We start from the raw sequence: 22,260 nt of genomic DNA on the forward strand, positions 1-22,260 counted from the left end.
AAGCTAGGACATTAGGAACTGGGGACAAAGCCTGAGCTTGGGTGTCAGGGATGGGGGGAGGGAGGAGAGATACAAAAACCAAACCAAATAAAGCTCACACCATCCTTTAAGAACAGTTGCCAGAGCAGAATGTGGAGTAACCCAACAGCAGTGACCTGGTGGCTCTAATTTCCCAGTCCTTGTTATGACTATATTCAGCCCATCATTTTTGTTTTCAAAGGCTTGATTAAAACAACTGATAATAGTATCATCAGTGCCAATATAACTGCTACAAGAAACTTATTGGCAATCCAGCTAATTGGGTAATTTGGAATATACTTGAATAGGTCAAACCTGAGATACCCTGATTAGTGGTTTGTGGCTTTCCTATTCAAGTTGTAATCATTCTCCTCACTCGGAAGAATGAATGTCCTTGTATATAATAATGAGCCGGTTGATTTTCTCTTAATTGAGCTCATAGTGTAACCAGACCCCCTCATTCACTGGGAGTTGGCTCTCAGCTCCCCTTTCCGTTGGTTAGGAGACACCAGTACTTACACAGGCATTGTAGTGTTCTTTTATGCCTCATGAATCTTGTCTCTGTGTTACTGTATAAATCCATGAAAGAAACTCGAGACATCTACAGTAGATATTAATCTTAAACTATGTTAGGGTCATACCTCAGCAAGTCTGTCCTATTTTTCTTGTTGCTCCTTTCCCTCTTTGTTTTTCTTCAACTTCACTTTCCTTTGAGAGACTGTACACTCCCCAGTGACTAAGCCTCCTGTTCCTCTCTTGCAGAGTATCTCTACCTATCACATTCCTCTTTAATTCTTCCCCATATCATCTTTTTTTCACTAGTAGCATAGCCTCGGTATAAAAGTAAATATTTAACTTATACATCTTTGCCAATTTTTAGTATCATATCATGTGATTTTAGTCCCTATCTAAGTTTTGGGTTCTTCTTATGCTATAAATCTATAGAGGCTACAGAGAATAACACTGTGAGAAAAACAAACAAACAAACTTTGTGTTGTTACTGTTTAGTGGTTTTATTTTTTGGTTTGTTTGTTTTGAGACAGGGTCTTACTCTGTCACCTAAGCTGGAATGCAGTGACACGATCATAGCTCACTTCAGTCGCAAATTCCTGGACTTAAGCGATCCTCCTGAGAAGCTGGGACGACAGGCTACAGGTGTGTGCCACCACACCTGGCTATTTTTTATTTTTTTTAATTTTTGTAAAGATGAGTCTTGCCATGTTGCCTATGCTAGTCTGGAACTCCTGGCTTCAAGTGATCCTCCCACCTCAGCCTTCCAAAGTGCTGGGATTACAGGCATGAGTCACTGTGCCCATCCTACTATTCTTTTTTTTTATTTTTTTTTTTGCATACATTAAGGTTTATTCTCTATGTTGTATGTTTTTATGGGTTTTAACAGATGTTCAATATCTTATAGTCACCATTACAGTATCATACAGAATAGTTTCACTGCCCTAAAAAACAACAACAACAACAACAACAACAAACAAAAAAAAAACCTATTCTTCATCTATTCAGGTCTCTTGCCCATTTCCTGGATTCCTGGGATCCATGGATCTATTTCTCATCTCTCCAGTTTTGTCTTTTCTAGAATGTCATGTAGTTGGAATCATGTAATCTGCAGCCTTTTAGGACTGTCTTCTTGCACTTAGCAATGTGCATTTAAGATTCATCCACATCTTGTGGTAGCTTGACAGCTCATTTTTTTTAACTTTTTAGTTTTTTTGTAATTTTATTATTATTACACTTTAAGTTCTAGGGTACATGTGCACCACGTGCATGTTTGTTACATATGTATACATGTGCCATGCTGGTATGCTGCACCCATTAACTCGTCATTTAGCATTAGGTATATCTCCTAATGCTATCCCTCCCCACTCCCTCCACCCCACAACAGTCCCCGGTGTGTGATGTTCCCCTTCCTGTGTCCATGTGTTCTCATTGTTCAATTCCCACCTATGAGTGAGAACATGCAGTGTTTGGTTTTTTGTCCTTGTGATAGTTTGCTGAGAATGATAGTTTCCAGCTTCATCCATGTCCCTACAAAGGACATGAACTCATCATTTTTTATGGCTGCATAGTATTCCATGGTGTATATGTGCCACATTTTCTTAATCCAGTCTATTGCTGTTGGACATTTAGGTTGGTTCCAAGTCTTTGCTATTGTGAATAGTACTGCAATAAACAATCATGTGCATGTGTCTTTATAGCAGCATGATTTATAATCCTTTGGGTATACACCCAGTAATGGGATGGGTGGGTCAAATGGTATTTCTAGTTCTAGATCCCTGATGAATCACCACAATGACTTCCATAATGGTTGAACTAGTTTACAGTCCCACCAACAGTGTAAAAGTGTTCCTATTTCTCCACATCCTCTCCAGCACCTGTTGTTTCCTGACATTTTAATGATCACCATTCTAACTGGTGTGAGATGGTATCTCATTGTGATTTTGATTTGCATTTCTCAGATGGGCAGTGATGATGAGCATTTTTTCACGTGTTTTTTGGCTGCATAAATGTCTTCTTTTGAGAAGTGTCTGTTCATATCCTTCGCCCACTTTTTGATGGGGTTGTTTTTTTTTTCTTGTAAATTTGTTTGAGTTCATTGTAGATTCTGGATATTAGCCCTTTGTCAGATGAGTAGGTTGCAAAAATTTTCTCCCATTCTGTAGGTTGCCTGTTCACTCTGATGGTAGTTTCTTTTGCTGTGCAGAAGCTCTTTAGTTTAATGAGATCCCATTTGTCAGTTTTGGCTTTTGTTGCCATTGCTTTTGGTGTTTTAGACATGAAGTCCTTGCCCATGCCTATGTCCTGAATGGTAATGCCTAGGTTTTCTTCTAGGATTTTTATGGTTTTAGGTCTAACATTTAAGTCTTTAATCCATCTTGAATTAATTTTTGTATAAGGTGTAAGGAAGGGATCCAGTTTCAGCTTTCTACATATGGCTAGCCAGTTTTCCCAGCACCATTTATTAAATAGGGAATCCTTTCCCCATTGCTTGTTTTTGTCATGTTTGTCAAAGATCAGATAGTTGTAGATAAGCGGCATTATTTCTGAGGGCTCTGTTCTGTTCCATTGGTCTATATCTCTGTTTTGGTACCAGTACCATGCTGTTTTGGTTACTGTAGCCTTGTAGTATAGTTTGAAGTCAGGTAGCATGATGCCTCCAGCTTTGTTCTTTTGGCTTAGGATTGACTTGGTGATGCAGGCTCTTTTTTGGTTCCATATGAACTTTGAAGTAGTTTTTTCCAGTTCTGTGAAGAAAGTCATTGGTAGCTTGATGGGGATGCCATTGAATCTATAAATTACATTGGGCAGTATGGCCATTTTCATGATATTGATTCTTCCTACCCATGAACATGGAATGTTCTTCCATTTGTTTGTATCCTCTTTTCTTTCATTGAGCAGTGGTTTGTAGTTCTCCTTGAAGAGGTCCTTCACATCCCTTGTAAGTTGGCTTCCTAGGTATTTTATCCTCTTTGAAGCAATTGTGAATGGGAGTTCACTCATGATTTGGCTGTTTGTCTGTTATTGGTGTATAAGAATGCTTGTGATTTTTGTACATTGATTTTGTATCCTGAGACTTTGCTGAAGTTGCTTATCAGCTTGAGGAGATTTTGGGCTGAGACGATGGGGTTTTCTAGATATATAATCATGTCATCTGCAAACAGGGACAATTTGACTTTCTCTTTTCCTAATTGAATGCCCTATATTTCCTTCTCCTGCCTGATTGCCCTGGCCAGAACTTCCAACACTATGTTGAATAGGAGTGGTGAGAGAGGGTATCCCTGTCTTGTGCCTGTTTTGAAAGGGAATGCTTCCAGTTTTTGCCCATTCAGTATGATATTGGCTGTGGGTTTGTCATAGATAGCTCTTATTATTTTGAGATACGTTCCATCAATACCTAATTTATTGAGAGTTTGTAGCAGGAAGGGTTGTTGAATTTTGTCAAAGGCCTTTTCTGCATCCATTGAGATAATCATGTGGTTTTTGTCTTTGGTTCTGTATATATGCTGGATTACGTTTATTGATTTGTGTATGTTGAACCAGCCTTGCATCCCAGGGATGAAGCCCACTTGATCATGGTGGATAAGCTTTTTGATGTGCTGCTGGATTCGGTTTGCCAGTATTTTATTGAGGGTTTTTGCATTGATGTTCATCAAGGATATTGGTCTAAAATTCTCTTTTTTGGTTTGGTTGTGTCTCTGCCAGGCTTTGGTATCAGGATGATGCTGGCCTCATAAAATGAGTTAGGGAGGATTCCCTCTTTTTCTATTGATTGGAATAGTTTCAGAAGGAATGGTACCAGCTCCTCCTTGTACCTCTGGTAGAATTCGGCTGTGAATCCATCTGGTCCTGGACTTTCTTTGGTTGGTAAGCTATTAATTATTGCCTCAATTTCAGAGCCTGTTATTGGTGTATTCAGAGATTCAACTTCTTCCTGATTTAGTCTTGGGAGGATGTATGTGTCAAGGAATTTACCCATTTCTTCTAGATTTTCTAGTTTATTTGCATAGAGGTGTTTATAGTATTCTCTGATGGTAGTTTGTATTTCTGTGGGATCAGTGGTGATATCCCCTTTATCATTTTTTATTGCATCTATTTGATTCTTCTCTCTTTTCTTCTTTATTAGTCTTGCTAATGGTCTATCAAATTTGTTGATCTTTTAGAAAAACCAGCTCCTGGATTCATTAATCTTTTGAAGGGTTTTCGTGTCTCTATTTCCTTTAGTTCTGCTCTGATCTTAGTTATTTCTTGCTTTCTGCTAGCTTTTGAATGTGTTTGCTCTTGCTTTTCTAGCTCTTTTAATTGTGATGTTAGGGTGTCAGTTTTAGATCTTTCCTGCTTTCTCTTGTGGGCATTTAGTGCTATAAATTTCCCTCTACACACTGCTTTGAATGTGTCCCAGAGATTCTGGTATGTTGTGGCTTTGTTCTCGTTGGTTTCAAAGAACATCTTTATTCCTTCTTTCATTTCATTATTTACCCAGTAGTCATTCAGGAGCAGGTTGTTCAGTTTCCATGCAGTTGAGCAGTTTTGGGTGAGTTTCTTAATCCTGAGTTCTAGTTGATTGCACTGTGGTCTGAGAGACACTTTGTTATAATTTCTGTTCTTTTACATTTGCTGAGGAGTGCTTTACTTCCAACAACTATGTGGTCAATTTTGGAGTAGGTGTGGTGCTGAAAAGAATGTATATTCTGTTGATTTGGGGTGGAGAGTTCTGTAGATGTCTATTAGGTCCGCTTGGTGCAGGGCTGAGTTCAATTCCTGGGTATCCTTGCTAACTTTCTGTCTTGTTGATCTGTCTAATGTTGACAGTGGGGTGTTAAAGTCTCCCATTATTATTGTGTTGGAGTCTAAGTCTCTTTGTAGGTCACTCAGGACTTGCTTTATGAATCTGGGTGCTCCTGTATTGGGTGCATATATATTTAGGATAGTTAGTTCTTCTTATTGAATTGATCCCTTTACCATTATGTAATGGCCTTCTTTGTCTCTTTTGATCTTTGTTGGTTTAAAGTCTGTTTTATCAGAGACTAGGATTGCAACCCCTGTCTTTTTTTGTTTTCCATTTGCTTGGTAGCTCTTCCTCCATCCCCTTATTTTGAGCCTATGTCTGTCTCTGCATGTGAGATGGGTTTCCTGAATACAGCACACTGATGGGTCTTGACTCTTTATCCAATTTGCCAGTCTGTGTCTTTTAATTGGAGCATTTAGTCCATTCACATTTAAAGTTAATATTGTTATGTGTGAATTTGATCCTGTCATTATGATGTTAGCTGGTGATTTTGCTTGTTAGTTGATGCAGTTTCTTCCTAGCCTTGATGGTCTTTACAATTTGGCATGTTTTTGCAGCGGCTGGTACCAGTTGTTCCTTTCCATGTTTAGTGCTTCCTTCAGGAGCTCTTTTAGGGCAGGCCTGGTGGTGACAAAATCTCTCAGCATTTGCTTGTCTGTAAAGGATTTTATTTCTCCTTCACTTATGAAGCTTAGTTTGGCTGGATATGAGATTCTGGGTTGAAAATTCCTTTCTTTAAGAATGTTGAATATTGGCCCCACTCTCTTCTGGCTTGTAGAGTTTCTGCCGAGAGATCAGCTGTTAGTCTGATGGGCTTCCCTTTGTGGGTAACCCGACCTTTCTATCTGGCTGCCCTTAACATTTTTTCCTTCATTTCAACTTTGGTGCATCTGACAATTATGTGTCTTGGAGTTGCTCTTCTCGAGGAGTATCTTTGTGGCATTCTCTGTATTTCCTGAATTTGAATGTTGGCCTGCCTTGCTAGGTTGGGGAAGTTCTCCTGGATAGTATCCTGCAGAGTGTTTTCCAACTTGGTTCCATTCTCTCTGTCACTTTCAGGTACACCAATCAGGCGTAGATTTGGTCATTTCACATAGTCCCATATTTCTTGGAGGCTTTGTTCGTTTCTTTTTATTCTTTTTTCTCCAAACTTCTCTTCTTGCTTCATTTCATTCATTTCATCTTCCATCACTGATACCCTTTCTTCCAGTTGATCGCATCGGCTACTGAGGCTTCTGCATTCATCACATAGCTCTCTTGCCTTGGTTTTCAGCTCCATCAGGTCCTTTAAGGACTTCTCTGCATGAGTTACTCTAGTTATCCATTCATCTAATTTTTTTTTCAAAGCTTTTAACTTCTTTGCCATTGGTTTGAATTTCCTCCTGTAGCTCAGAGTAGTTTGATCGTCTGAAGCCTTGTTCTCTCAACTCGTCAAAGTCATTCTCCCTCCAGCTTTGTTCCATTGCTGGTGAGGAGCTGCAATCTTTTGGAGGAGGAGAGGCACTCTGATTTTTGAGTTTCCAGTTTTTCTGCTCTGTTTTTTTCCCATCTTGTGGTTTTATCTACCTTTGGTCTTTGATGATGGTGACGTACAGATGGGTTTTTGGTGTGGATGTCCTTTCTGTTTGTTAGTTTCCCTTCTAACAGACAGGACCCTCAGCTGCAGTTCTGTTGGAGTTTCTAGAGGTCCACTCCAGACCCTGTTTGCCTGGGTATCAGCAGCAGTGGCTGCAGAACAGTGGATATTGATGAACCACAGATGCTGCTGCCTGATTGTTCCTCTGGATGTTTTGTCTCAGAGGAGCACCTGGCCGTGTGCGGTGTCAGTCTGCCCCTACTGGGGGATGCCTCCCAGTTAGGCTGCTCAGGGGTCAGGGACCCACTTGAGGAGGTAGTCTGCTGGTTCTCAGATCTCAAGCTGCATGCTGGGAGAACCACTACTCTCTTCAAAGCTGTCAGAGAAGGACATTTAAGTCTGCAGAGGTTACTGCTGTCTTTTTGTTTTTCTGTGCCCTGCCCCCAGAGGTGGAGCCTACAGAGGCAGGCAGGCCTCCTTGAGCTGTGGTGGGCTCCACCCAGTTCGAGCTTCCCGGCTGCTTTGTTTACCTAATCAATCAAACAACTAACTCGGCAATGGCAGGCGCCCCTCCCCCAGCCTCGCTGCCTCCTTGCAGTTTGATCTTGGACTGCTGTGTTAGCAATGAGCGAGACTCTGTGGGCATAGGACCCTCTGAGCCACGTGCAGGATATAATCTCCTGGTGTGCCATTTTCTAAGCCAGTTGGAAAAGCGCAGTATTAGGGTGGGAGTGACCTGATTTTCCAGGTGCTGTCTGTCACCACTTTCTTTGACTAGGAAAGGGAATTCCCTGACCCCTTGTGCTTCCCGGGTGAGGCAATGCCTTGCCCTGCTTCGGCTCACGCACGATGCGCTGCACCCACTGTCCTGCACCGACTGTCTGGCACTTCCCAGTGAGATGAACCCGGTACCTCAGTTGAAAATGCAGAAATCACCCGTCTCTTGCATCGCTCACGCTGGGAGCTGTAGACCTGGAGCTGTTCCTATTCGGCCATCTTGGCTCCTCCCCCCTACTATTCTTTAATCATGGTTTAAAAGTTAATTTCCAGGTAACTTACCAAACTAGTAAAAGACATTCATGAAAGAATATTTGGGTGAGGAAAATAATATCTTTTGAATAGTTAAATTCAAATTTTAGTAAATGTAAGAATCACTGTGAAACTTGTTTAAAACATAGCCTTCCAAGCTCTTGCCCCACAAATACTGAGTTAGGGGGTCTAGAGTGATCTAAAGAATCTGAGTTTTTAAACAAGTGTCTAGGTAATTCTCATGTGGCCAAGTTCAAAAATCACTGCTCAGGCTGGTAGAAATAAAACCTTTGGATATTTCCAATACATTTTTGTTGTTGTTTTGTTCAAATATCTGTAGGTATAAAAGGCACTTGCAGAATACAGACTATTCATTGGTATTTGCTGCATTATAATTCCCAAACATAATGGCTTAAAACAATAAACAAATTCTGCATCACCTGGGTGATTCTGGGCTGGGTTGGCTCACCTAGGGCTGGATGATCTAGAACAGCCTCATGCACATGCCTTGTGGTTGGCTTGAATTCAGGTGGAGCAACAGGGATAATCTGGCCACATGTCTCATTATATAACAGGCAAGCCCATGATTCTTCACATGGTAGGTTGAGGGTTCCAAAATGTATCAAGAAAGGGCAAGCCCCAATGCACAGATACTTTTCAGGTCTCCAATTTGGCCATGTTTGCTACTGTCCCACTTCACTTAACAAGGTAAGTCATATGGGTAAGTCCAGAATCAGAATGGAAGGGAAATACGCAAGTATGTTGATTCAAGAAGGTAAATTATTGCAGCGTTTTTGCAACAATATAATTTTCATGCTCAACTGGAAAATTCAATTGGATTCGGAGCAACTGTATGTTAGAAAAAAAATCAATGATCTTGTAGATCAAATACCTGAGTTAATCTAATCCCAGCATCTCACTTAGTAACTGGAAGATGGTTGTCTTTTATTTTCTCTAATTTTCATGGTCTTCATCTGTAAAATATAAATACTACTAATAATAATGTTTACTTCACAGAACTATTTAGAGAATAAATGAAGTAGTGGGTATAAGAATACTTCGTAAGCTAGAAATAGGGCAAAATTCAAAATATTTTTAGATGTGTTTGATGCGATTGTTCCTCACTCCTCCAAAAATGACTACAGTATTTATTAAATCAGTGAGCTTCCTAATATCTCTGTGACTTGATTGTTCTCAGTATAGCCCATCCTCAACCTGCTGTTGGAGTCATCTTCCTTTAAAACCAAACTTATCATGTCATCCAACACTTCAGTAAACCTCTGATAGCTCTCCATTTACCTACACAATATAAGCAGAATCAGCATATAAAAATGTTCCAAAAATGTTCCCAATCTGAGCTCACCTCCCTCTTTATCCAACCTTCTTGACTGTCTATTGAATTTGGCATCATTCCCTTTATACATCAGACCATTATAATTTCAAGCTACATCCATTCTATTTCCCTCAAACTACAATTTTCTTTTACTGCATCTTCCCTTTGGCAAACTTTTACTCATCCTTTAACACCCAGATTAAATATTCCTCCCTCATTGCATGAACATTTAGTGAGCCAAGAACCTTTCTCAGCTTCTCAAATGTTAATTGTTCTGTTTTCTCTGTTCTCAAAAGACTTTGTTAATATCTCTAACACTTATCATAGTGCATTATAATTTATGTGTGTATGTTTTCTCTCTCCCCAGCTAGACAATAAACTACTCCACTACCAGAAATAGTGCAGGTTCTCAGTATTTAGTTTTGAGTAAATGAATGAATGAATGTTTGACTCCTTTATTCCTTCCCTGGCTGGCCACATTATGCTCTGAGACTTAACCAACCATACTCAACCCCCTAGATTTCTCGTTGTCAACCTGACCATAGACACCAAAGAGTATTCTTGCCCAGTGGCCCATTCTCACATCTGGAAGCCAGTTATAGTCATGCCCCACATAATGGTGTTTTGGTCAACAATGAACCTCATATACAATAATGGTTTCGTAAGATTATAATGAAGCTGAAAAATTCCTTTTGCCTAATGATGTCATAGCCGTCATAGAGTCCCCATGCAATGCATTACTTTTTCTATGTTTAGATACACAAATACTTACCATTGTGCTACAATTGCCTACAGTATTCAGTATAGGAACATGTTTTACAGCTTTGTAGCCTAGGAGCAACAGGCTATATGCCTAGGTGTGTAGGAGGTTATACAATCTAGGTTTCTGTAAGTATACAGTAAGTATACACTATGATGTTTGTACAACATCAAAATTGACTAAACATAGCCTCATTGTTAAGCAATGCAGATTGTACTATGTCCTAACTCTCGAGTTGTCTACCAAAATTTTGACCCACTGCCTTTCCTGATCTTGTAACTATCTCATAGAGTCATTGCATTTTTTCTGCTACCTTTGTAGTCATAGTGACACCATCCAGGTGTAATAACAATTCAAGGAATAGGGAAATAACTTATTTTTTAAACCAGCGTGCCTACCATGAACCTTATCAGAAGAATGTTTTTCCTACTGCTTTACAGCTGAAAACCATGGCTCATAGAGATTAAATAATTTACCCAGAGTCAGATAGCTAAATATATGGTATATGGGATTTTAACCCAGTTTTGTCTGACAAAAAGGGGGAAAAAGCCTCCTTTTCTCTCTTTACCACAGTAGTTTGGCAACTTACTTATAGGCTCACATCCAGGAAAGCTTAAGCTAAAGCTGTGATTTGAGGACTAGTAAAGGTTTACACTTGCCTATTTTAACCATTAATTTATGACCTTCATACCAAGAAAAGATTTTAAGCAGTTGTAAATCAACTTAAAGCATCTAGGAAGAAAATCATGTGTTGATGGTATTATATTAATAGTTATTTTGCCTCCCAAATTTCTAGTTTATCCAATGTTTTGAGTAAATATAACAATAACAATACAAGGGTCACTTCAAACAAAAAAGTATAAAACTTCAGTCCTTCTGTTTCAACTTGTAAGTTTAAGATTTCATCTCCTTTCTGGGCAAGAAGAAAACTTTTGTTTTTATTTTTACTAAAAATAATAATCATGGATAAAATGATACAGTTTAAAAGGATTGGCTCTTATTCCATCTTTGGAATTTCTCACTCCAGACAATCCTTTCTCTCTTGGCAAAATATGACATAATGATTTGAAAGAAAGAAAGAAAAAACACTTAAGTGTTTCAGGCCAGAAGTTAATTGAATAAGACCTTGGATTCCGAAGAGTTTGTGTTTTATGGTTGATTAACTTGTTTTAATACCAAAAAATGCTTAGGAAACCCAATTATCATGCCACTTAATCTGAGTTATTGGCTGATTTCTGCTAGTTTCTGGATGTCTTATTGACCAAGTTCCATTTCGTACTATGATATACAAGAGAAACTGAGCTTCAGTTTGGAAAGAAAGATTTAGGTTCAACATATGAACAATGGCCCCAAAACAGAAAGAATAAATTCTTAGATTCATAAATCGGATAACTTGAGCTTGTAATTTCCAGTTACCAACATATTCCTTGCCCGAAGAATAGGATGAACAGTGTGAGAAAATGAAGACCCTAATATTTTTCTATACTTGGCCTATTTTTTACTAGTGTGATTATTACCACCTCATTGTTGTCTTTTCACTTGTTTAAAATAAATATGTCAAAGCCAGATGCCTGGTTATAAAGAAAGAAGGGAGAAGGGGAAATAACTGAAATCATTATACCTTATTCTGGAGCCTACTGGCAACACTATAAAGAATGACTTGCCATTGACATGCACGTGCTACTAGTTCTGTCTCTACCAAAAAAAAAAAAAAAAAAAAAAACCCTACTCTTCTATTAGCTGGCCATCTTTCTTTACATGCTGGAGGGAGGTAAGAAGCGGGGAGAAACATAGGCCTCCTAAAGGACTGTTGGAAATTCTTACATAACCCTTTAAAATAAGAGTTCTTAACTTAATCTGAGCTCCACAGATGAGCTTCTAACCCACAGTTGTTTGCAAAATCATGCTACACATTTTTCTGAGGAAAGATTTCATGAAATTTATCAGATTTTCATGAAACTCTGTGACCCATAAAAAAATAAGTTAAGAACCAGTGCTCCAGCTGAGCTCAGTGGCTCATGCCTGTAATCCTAGCACTTTGGGAGGCCGAGGCAGGTGGATTGCCCAAGCTCAGCACTTCAAGACCAGCCTGGGCAATACAGTAAAACCCCGTCTCTACTAAAATACAAAAAATGAGCTGGGTGTGGTGGTGTGTGCCTGTAGTCCCAGCTACTTGGGAGGCTGAGGCAGGAGAATTGCTTGAACATGGGAGGTGGAGATTGCAGTGAGCCGAGATCATGCCACTGCACTCCAGCCTGGGCCACAGTGTAAGACTCCGTCTCCAAAAAAAAAACAACAACAAAAAACAAAACAAAACCAATGCTCCTAAGTTCCTCAAACTTCTAGGCATGACTATTTTTCTGTGATATCAGGGAATCAAGGGGACTAAAGGGATGACAGGTAGAAAAGGGGAAGAATGAGCCATGGCTTCTTGCCTAGTACAAGTGGAGGCAACATTAGACCATAGCTTTCAAGTACAGAATTGTACAAAACTGAGTTCACAGATGGGCTGAAATGAAAGCAGCTTTCATAACCCTCAGGTTTGCCACTTCTCAGGTAAATAATGCAGAATCATATGTAGGGTTGCTCCTAAATATTTGAAGCAAGGCACTGAAACCTGTGTATTACTGAGATCTATAGGTTTAACCTGATTGATATTTTCCATGTATATTTAACTGAGTGACTTCTATATGCCAAGTATAATATCAAACACTAAAGATATGCTGGTGAGCTGAACAGGAATTAGAAGGAAAGAATAAGCAAGACTTGATTCAGCCAAACTTGCAAGGGAATTGGGATACAATGAAATCTCTTATTACCACAAAACCATAGAATTTTGGAACTAGAAGAAAACTTGATGATTACCTAGTTCAGTCCTCCTATTTTCTAAGGACTTTGTTCAGGGTCATTCAGTTCAAGTGGCAATACTGGGATTGAATCCTACGTATTCTTTCATCTAGCCCATTTATCTACCCTCTATTTTAAATTGTGTCTCCATAACCTATCTATACCCTTTTATTTCTAGAGTCAACCAATTTCAAAAATCCCTTCAGCCTCCCAAATACCTAGATGCCAATAGAGAATCCCTCAAAATCCCCATTCCACATACCAAGAAGAAAGAAAATTTAGAATTTATTGTAAAGTATACAATTGGTTGGTATCAATATACCAACCAATACAATTGGTCTGTATCAATATACCAACCAATACAATTGGTCTTGATGATGAGGGCGAACAAGTTATTGATGATGATGATGATGACAATACTGTTACTAATGATCATGGCACCTAACATTTTCAGCTTGCTTAAGATTAGATACTCATACTCGTCCTCTTAGAGGTCATGATTTTCACTATATAACATGGACATTCTAATTCAGGTATATTGATACCAAACAATTACAAACTTAGAAAATTTTCAATATTGAAATCCAGCTTTTACTCAGAAAAAGAAGCATCTCTGGCTCTTTAAAATTACAGTCTCAACTGGTCCACTCGCTCATGATGTCATATACAGTTTGACGTTGTCTGGGCAAGCTGGTAAACATACTGCTTCCTCCATTGTTTAATTCCCTTCCCTGAGTGAGATCCTTAGGCAACCAGGCTTCATTAGTTCAGGTGCTAGCCTCAGGGAACTACTTGTTTTAATTAGAGGGATGAAATGGCATTTTAATTGTGCACAATGATTAATAAACATGCTGAGCTGCTGCATAATGATCTGCTGCTTGAAGAGCTTTCTCCCTTATTCCTGATATCTACATCCATTAACTGATTGTTATCCAGGTGAAGAGCTATCGAGCTCTTTCTCCAACCAAATTGCACACTGTCTGTCCTCCAATTTTTCTGCTAATAACAATTATTGGAACTAAGTCCCATTAATTTTTGTGGTAACAGAGAGACAAGACTAAAATGGAGAGAGCTTACAAAGTGCTATATTGCCTATGTAATTTATTTCACTGAACTTTCCTGTAAAAGGGAGATAATAATATGACCAATCTGACAGGGCATTGCATAGATTAAATGAGATAATGTATGCAAAGCTGGCCCAGAGAAGGCACCCTGAAAATGTTAGGTGCCATGATCATTAGTAGTAGTATTGTCATCATCATCAATAACTTCTTCATCCTCATCAGTTTCATCATCAAGACCATAATCTTCCTCAAGATTAGATACTCATATATTTCCTCTTAGAGGTCATAATGTTCAGTATATAACATGGACATTCTAATTCAGGGATCATTTTCTAAGGGGTGGTGGTTGACTGAAGATTTTCCCAATTTCTCCTTTATGTTGTATGAAAGTAGTTTGGAATGACTTATGGGAAATGTGTGCAAAGAAAGTCACATATTATACAGACTTAATATCACCCCCTCAGTAGTTAAATAAAATACTTGCTGCATGTCTGAACTTCAATGAAAACAGAAACTAAAGAACTAGATGATAAAGTGACTTCCGCTACAAAGCTTCACCTGCTTGGCATTTGTAATACTTTTATTGGCTACCATTGTAGTTTGGTGACTCCTTACAGCATTACAGCTTTTTTCTCTAGTTGCGGACACTAGTATATTGTTTGTTTTGTGTTTCCTGGAAATTGTTCCTCAAGGTCATATATCTATCTCCAAATCTTTGACTTTACTTGATTTGAGGGAAATAATTCTGGAGGAAACCGAGGGGAGCCGCCACAATTCACTATTTGTAAATGGTTATTGTGATGTTGGATATTACACAATTGATCCTATTTCTTAGCTTGAATTATTAAAGACACTATTTTTAAAATAGGCCAGCTGTTCTACTGACGTACTTATCTGTATTTTTTTGACATATTACCATAACTGCACACCAATACAACTCACTTATGCCCAAGAAAAGTAGTTATGACTGAGCATGTTAAAAGCTAAATATAAAACCACTTTCTCTCCCACAAAATATTAAGGATTTCATAGAAACAAGTCTGCCCCACTGAAGATGGCTTCCTGTACACAGAGTCATTATGGTTCAGTGAAGCAGATATGATTGATTACACAGGCCAAATTTTACCTTGCCTCCAGGGCGCTCCTAATTCTTGTTGTTATTTCCTTTAAAGGCACACAATTGTCTGCAAGAGTCAAAGGGGAAAGGTGAATGAACTCTTTTGGCCATGGCAGAGCAGAGAGAAGGGTTTTGGAATAGACACTGAACCTGAAATATCTAAGACAGTGCAGAAAGAAAAAGAGGACTGAATGCATTTTCATATTTTCCTATTTCCTAGCAAGGAAGTCTTTAAAATCATTCACCTGAAGTTCCACTAATATATATATATATATACACTTATTATAATGGCCAACATTAAAAACACTGACCATATGAAATATTGTTGAGGATGTGGAGAAACAAACTCTCAAACACGGCAAGTGGTGCGCTACATTTTACCAACAGTGCCGAGATTTCTGCAGGGGAGTGGAGCGCAAGAGTAAGATGCTACAACATTTTTGGAAAATAGTTCTGCACTTTCTTAAAAAGTTAAACATGCAACTACTAGGCAATCCAGCATTCCACTCCTCTGCATTAACCCAAGAAATGAGAGCAGGCGTCCATACAAAGACTTTGACACAAATATTCATAGTAGCTTTATCGGCAATCACCAAAAATAAAAAGCCAAAATGTTCCTTCTTAACAAGGGAACAGATAAACAAATTATTGTACATCTAATGAAATACTACTCAGAATGAGAAAAGAATGAATGATTGATCCATGCAATAACAAAGATGTATCTTAGTTAGACAAAAACTGATATCTGTGATGGCAGAAAACAGTGCAGAGATTTCTTCAGGGCAGTGGAGTGCAAGAGTGGCTATAAAGGAGCATGAGGAAACTCTTGGGAATGATGAATATGTTTGTTATCTTGATTGCAGTTAGTTTCATGGGTGTATATCATGTCAAAAACCAAATTGCACACTTTAAATACATACAGTTTAGTGAATGTCAATTATATTTCAATGAAACTGTTATGAAACTGTTAAAATAAATAAATCGCTTTCTTGAAATTTTTTGAGCATAGTTATCTGTTCTAATGGGACTGGTTACAATACACTGTATTAATCTTTGGTGAATATATACATAGATATATGTTTTTCTATTAAAGGCTATCAATGTAAAGAGATGGGTTCAATAAACCAATGCCATTATGTCAGTATAGACACAATCAGAATATTAGGAAGACTTTTCTCAAGTAAACAACTATAGCACTAAAAACATAGCTATGTAAAGACGCTTGTTGTAAACTCTTTGACCATTTGGGATGTTTCGAATAACCAGCTAGTAGTATTGTACTAAATTAAGGCCTTAGATTATTTTTCTGATTTTCTCTCCAATGCTAGAAGAGCTATGAGGAGAGATTTTCTGGAGTATCCAACTTAGTACCCCCCCTACTATTCTCAGCCCAACCCCTTGGCATAGCAGTCAGTCAATCCTAGCTGCAGATTTGCTGACTCAGTGCTGATTTCCATGAGTCAATCTATTAATGAATTCTTTATAATGAATTCTTTATTACCAATGATTTTTTTCTTTATACAGCTTACCTTTGGTCTTCTCAACCTCACCTGAATTTCCTTCCCATTTCTCTGTAGCCTTTACCATGTTGAGTTATTACAGAGCAGTTTAAGAATATTCATTGAATAAATGTCTACATTTTAAATGTACTATTTCTTTCAAAATATCCCAAGCTCTCAACACCTACAATAAAATAAAATGACTCTCAAAAAACGGTTTGTGAGAAATTTACTAACTTGGTAAAGAAAGGCTATTTAAACATAATGTAGACCAACATATATTCATCTAACTGTCAAGCCAGATGTGCATATATTTATATTACTACTAAATTTATATTATTTATGAATATTCTTTAATAATCAAGAAGCCATCGATTATAATATTTTAGGTAAATCTATACTAATTGATTAGGTTCATGTTATTTTTCTATCTTTGTTAGGAATGCAGCACATTTATTGAGTGCTTATTAATAAAAACTATCAGAACAATAGTTAAAAATGATTTGTGTGATGAAAGAAAGAAAAGAGACAAAAAAGAGAAAGGAATTGTATCTGTACTTACTTTTCTACTTTATCAGTTGTAACATGCACTGTTTGGATTATTTTAGATTCCCCACTTTAGTTCTTAATCTTGGCTGCACCTTTCAGATTCGCCTGATCTTGAAAAAGTATTGAATGTCTGGGTCTCACTCCAGACCAATTGAATGAGAATATATGGGAATAGGGCCAAGGACTGATGATTTTGATGCAAAGAGGGATTTGTAAACTCTCTCTTAAAATGTGCAAATTAATAACACATTATTAGGGTGGCCCTAATCTTCTCGTCAGGTATTGATATTTATTTGATGTCAGCTTTCCTCTTATTCTCCGGCCGTTTTGTCTATCATATCCACCATGACTTACATTTTGGCAGCCTTCTGGTTCTTCCCTCAGTCAGCTTCCTCACTCCAGCAGAGCCCTATAAGAAAGCAGTCATAGTAAGCAGTGGAGACTTTGATGAAGACGTTGCAGGAGAATCAGGATAGTTTGTATCACATATCTTACAACCACATGACACTTGCCACACTCCAAAGTCCTGTTTTCCTTAATACAATTGAGATTTTTTTTTTCTACTGAACCATCATTTTATGGAAGAAAACGTAGAACAAGTTTCCAAAGCAATTCACCTCCACCCCAAACCTGTATACTCCCAGGCAAAAACAGAAGGTCATGTAGTTAATTAATAGGTCTTCCCACTTTTAGAAAACATTTTAATCACCATGTTATTATTTGAGCATGCCTTTGACTGCTATACTCCAAGTGGCTTATCAAAAGCTTCTCCCAAACACACTTAATCATCTCCACAAGAGGAACCTTGGTACCATCTGGTAAGGTAATAAAATAGTCTTCATATCATTTTATGGACATATATTCATGCTGACCAAAACTTACTTAAGAAAAAATAAAGGTTACTCTTATGTTAAGAAAAGCAAATAATTCAGAGCTGGAAAAGGGAACAGTGACAGCAGAGTAGGGTCACTATAGTTAACAACAATGTATTGTATATTTCAAAATACCTAAGAGAGAGGACTTGAAATGTTCCTAACACATAGAAATGAATATTGAGGTGATGGATACCCCAAATACCATAATTTATCATTATATATTCTACGCATGTAATAAAATATCACATATACCTCATATATATGTATAAATACTATGTATCAGTAAAAAAAAATTTAATTTTAAAAATGGAATAGGAAAGAGATTAACAAAACAAGTACAGCTGCCAAAAAATGAAGCCAGAAAGGATAGAATGGAAGCAACTAGTGTCAATCTTTTAGTTCACAATCAATAGTTTTAGAGTTCCAACGTGGATTTATATTTATTAAACTTGGGGTACCATCCCCAGTGACACTGATTAAGTAGGTCTGGGATTGGACCAAAACTGACATTTTTCCCAGCTCCCATAGGATTCTGATGCAGATCATTGACACACCTCATTTTGGGATTTCAAACTGTAAAGTGCAAAAGAATCATCTGAGGATCTTGGTGAGATTCAGATTGCACTAATGGTAATGTGTAAGGATGAGGCCTGAGATTCTGCATTTCTAACAGGGTGCTGCCAATTATATGACCCATGTGTCACACCTTTATGTCAAGGTAGTAGGATTTTGAAAATTGGGTTTGGGTGTGTTATAAACATGATTTGGATTGGGCTCCATAAAAGATTATTTCATTGAAAAATCTCTGGGATTTCTTGCGTTGCCCAGTGCATCTCTTCTCTGCCCTGGCCCAATTCTTAAGATTTGCTCCCCATTATAGAGTTAGTTAAGCTACAATTAACAACTGTGGATTCAATAAGTCCTTCTCTTTCCTTATTTAAAATAGATTTGGTTATCATCTGTGATAGTAATTGGTAAACTACTACAGGCAGGCCAATCTGGCTGCTGCCTCTTGTTGTAAATAAAGTATTATTGAACACTACCACATCCATTTGTTTACATATTACCAATGGCTGCTTTCCTACCATAATGGCAGAGTTGAGTAGTTACCATAGAAGCCGTGCAGTTGACAAGATGATATACTATCTGGTTCTTTACAAAAAATTTTGATGATCCTTGGCCTATGACAATTCACAGTCTTCTAAGCTTCATTTTCTGCAATTAACCCAGAAGTATTTTTAGCACAAGATGTAGTAAAAGAAAAGGAGGAAACCTTTTTTATTAATTCTGAGGTTTTCTGCAGAGCTCAGGAATTTGTTTCTCTTGCCTTCTACAACTTAATGCACTTCATTCACTGCTGCTATTTTATTCTCTTATACATGTGTTTTGTTCTTTTATTTGATAACTAGCTATTGACTTATTAAGCTTTTAAGGGGTAATAGAGATAATCAGAGGACACAAAGATAATTTTATGTTTGGTAATGAGAAAGTCTTTATGGAGAAGATGGGAAATAACTTTGCTATTGAAAGAAAGTGTAGACATGCAATTGCAAAGAAGCAGAGAGAGGTGGGAGGATGAATAAATAAAAAGGTCAAAGTCAGAATACTCGAAAGGTATTCAATAAGCGAGGAAGTACTCTGCATAACTATATTGGAGTGTTCATACAGGACAGCGGGACACAGGACTACACTTCAAAGCACCTTGAAAACCAGTGTAAGAATTTGCAAGAGTTCTTAGGTCCTTGCGACTCAGTGTGGTCTCCAAACCAGCATGGGCATGCCCTAGGACCTTCTTAGAAATGCAGATTTTCTGCCCAACCCCAGACCTACTGAATCAGATTCTACATTTTCACAAGATCCTCAGACCATCTGCATGCCAGTTAAAGTCTGAGAAGCACTACTCTAGAAGAGAACCAGTTATGTAGTGGAGAAAGTGCTGGACTGGGGCTCCTGAAGATTCCAGAGCTATCGTTCACAAACCGCGTGTCTTTGGACAAATCTCTTAAAATCCCTAAGCTTGTTTGCTCATATGTGAAATGATTATATTTGAGCCTTCCAACTCTGAAACTCTATTCTCTCACTCAATGGACATCACCTAAAGGGAGATTGTGATATGAGGGGATATAAATACAGTTATGCTTTAGAAAGACCAATGTAAAGACTGTTTCAACATGGATTTGAGATGGAAAAACAAAAAGAAGACAGAAACTGGAATACTAGTTAAAACACAGTGTAGAATTCTAAACCTGAGGTTGTAAAAATATACTTTTGTGTAAAATTATTTACTAGTATAGATACCTTCTTAGTATTAGCATTACATTCCATTGTCTGCATTTTTTATTACATTCATTAAACTATATGACACAGGTCATGCCACAAAAAAGTGAGAATAAGTGAGGGGAGGCAAGGGAGAGAAAATGAGAGAGAAAGGGAGAGAAAAATTGAAACCAATTTCCCAGAACCAGGCAGTAGCAAAGAAGGCCAAGCAACTCCAACAAATGTGTTTAAAAGTCATAAAATGGATTGTTTTTTAATTGGCACTCCTTTGATATGGCTGCTATCTCTCGGATTAGAATATTGTTACAAAAGTTGTAGGGCTCTGGAAAGGAAAGTCCTCATGTCTCACTCAAAACTAGCTACAACATCAGCATTGCAAAAGGCATGAAATTATTTTTAAAGGCATGAACAAGTTGACAAAATACTGATTTTTTTACTCCCAAAGAAAATTTTACTTTAATATATTAGGTTGCCTAGTGGCTCACTAGGGGATTTATAATCTTTCTTTACTTTTTAAAAAACATTTTTATTATAAAAATTTCTTCCAGTCCACACGAAGTATCTTTAGCCATCTCTTCCAGATAAATACAGTGTCTATTTGAATTGATTGAATTCAACAGATTCATTTCATGGTTTTTTATTTATGTCCTCCCACATTTAAAATAAATAAGGTTAATACTGATAGAACAAGGTTGTATGGGTCTTAGAAGGATCTATTTTTTTTCATCACACCTCTTTTGTTCCATCTTGCTTAGCAAATCAGATGCTAGATATATTTTGATTAGTTTGTACTTTAATGGATCATGTATGGAGGGTCCACCTTTCACATTGGGGCCATTAATTTTTCTTGAGTCTGATGGAAAAAACAGGTAGAGCTTTTTTTGTGTGCTGATTGAAAAGTGATGGATTATTTTCATGTGGTAAGAAACACAATGTTTTCTTTAGCACAGCAGGATATAATGTTTGCAAGGTCTAACAGTGAAATATTATGCATATCTGCCACTGGCCGGCTGCCAGAAATGGAACAGCAAAATCAGAGGAGATTTTGAATTTGAATGTTAAAACCAGTACAGCCTACAAAAAAGCTAATGAGCCATTCTAAGCAGAAAAAGCTTTTATACTAATAGATGGTGCCCGCCATACACGCCTGCATTTAACAAGATGGTAAATAATTATTCATTTAAGTGTTACCTTGAACTTTATTTCAAGAAAAAAAAAAGATATTTATTCCTGATAATTTCCAATAGGCACTGCTGCAAGGATTTTTTTTTTTCCCCCCAATTCAGAGGCCCATGACGTTTCCTTCCTGGTGAAAGTAGAATCATTTTCCTTACAGCGTTTGTCCTCTTGTGGTTGAAAAATTGACTCAGAGAAAATTTTATTCCACCATTATTTAGTACTGAAAACTGGCATTTTCAAATCAATACCTAGAATTATGAAAAAGCTTTGAAATGTCATAAGAAATAAATATACAAACATAATCTTAAAAGGTTGGTAAGGGGATGTTTTGAATTTGCTGAATGTCTTGAGCTCCTTTGCTTTCAAAGTGAAGGACCTAGCACTGGGGATCCTTTCTGCTCTTAGTACTTATTTCTGCCATGATAACCTATTGATATATTAAGGAAAACACAATCCACATGTTCATTTATAACCAACTCATCAAGATGTTATTTTCTAGAAATATTTGATATCTTAGAAAGTAAATATTTGATATCTTAGAAAGTTGGAGCCTTCTTTTCTAGGCTTTAAAATTTTATTTTATTTTATCCTGTTTTTAGGGCCAGAACATTTTATTTAGTAGGTATTGAAAGGAATTTGGGTCTATCAGGGAACTGGCTCCACTTTAAATGAAAAAGCTGCACAATCAATATGGAAAACACACTATATATTTCGAGAAAATATACATGGTATTACTACCCTCCTGTAAATGGAAAAATCCAATGGGAAGAGACGTTTGCTACATGTTGACGCCTTATGTATTTTATATTACTGTATTTCAATCTCCATTTTAAAGATG

General features: G+C 37.5%; 2 long non-coding RNA genes across 2 annotated transcripts in view; one reads left to right on the forward strand and one right to left on the reverse strand.

Moving 5' to 3' along the window:
• LINC01828 (long intergenic non-protein coding RNA 1828) overlaps positions 1–22,260 on the forward strand; it is a 202,799-nt gene that overhangs the window by 101,618 nt on the left and 78,921 nt on the right. The window lies entirely within an intron of this gene.
• LINC01829 (long intergenic non-protein coding RNA 1829) overlaps positions 1–22,260 on the reverse strand; it is a 91,963-nt gene that overhangs the window by 64,707 nt on the left and 4,996 nt on the right. The window contains exons 2-3 of the long non-coding RNA NR_038844.1: positions 17,446–17,500; positions 15,053–15,110 (exon numbers count right to left, since the gene is read on the reverse strand). This is a non-coding gene — a long non-coding RNA (long intergenic non-protein coding RNA 1829). The remainder of the gene's footprint in view (positions 1–15,052; positions 15,111–17,445; positions 17,501–22,260) is intronic.

Source organism: Homo sapiens, chromosome 2 (genome assembly GCF_000001405.40).
Source record: "Homo sapiens chromosome 2, GRCh38.p14 Primary Assembly".
In the NCBI taxonomy this organism is placed as follows: domain Eukaryota; kingdom Metazoa; phylum Chordata; class Mammalia; order Primates; family Hominidae; genus Homo; species Homo sapiens.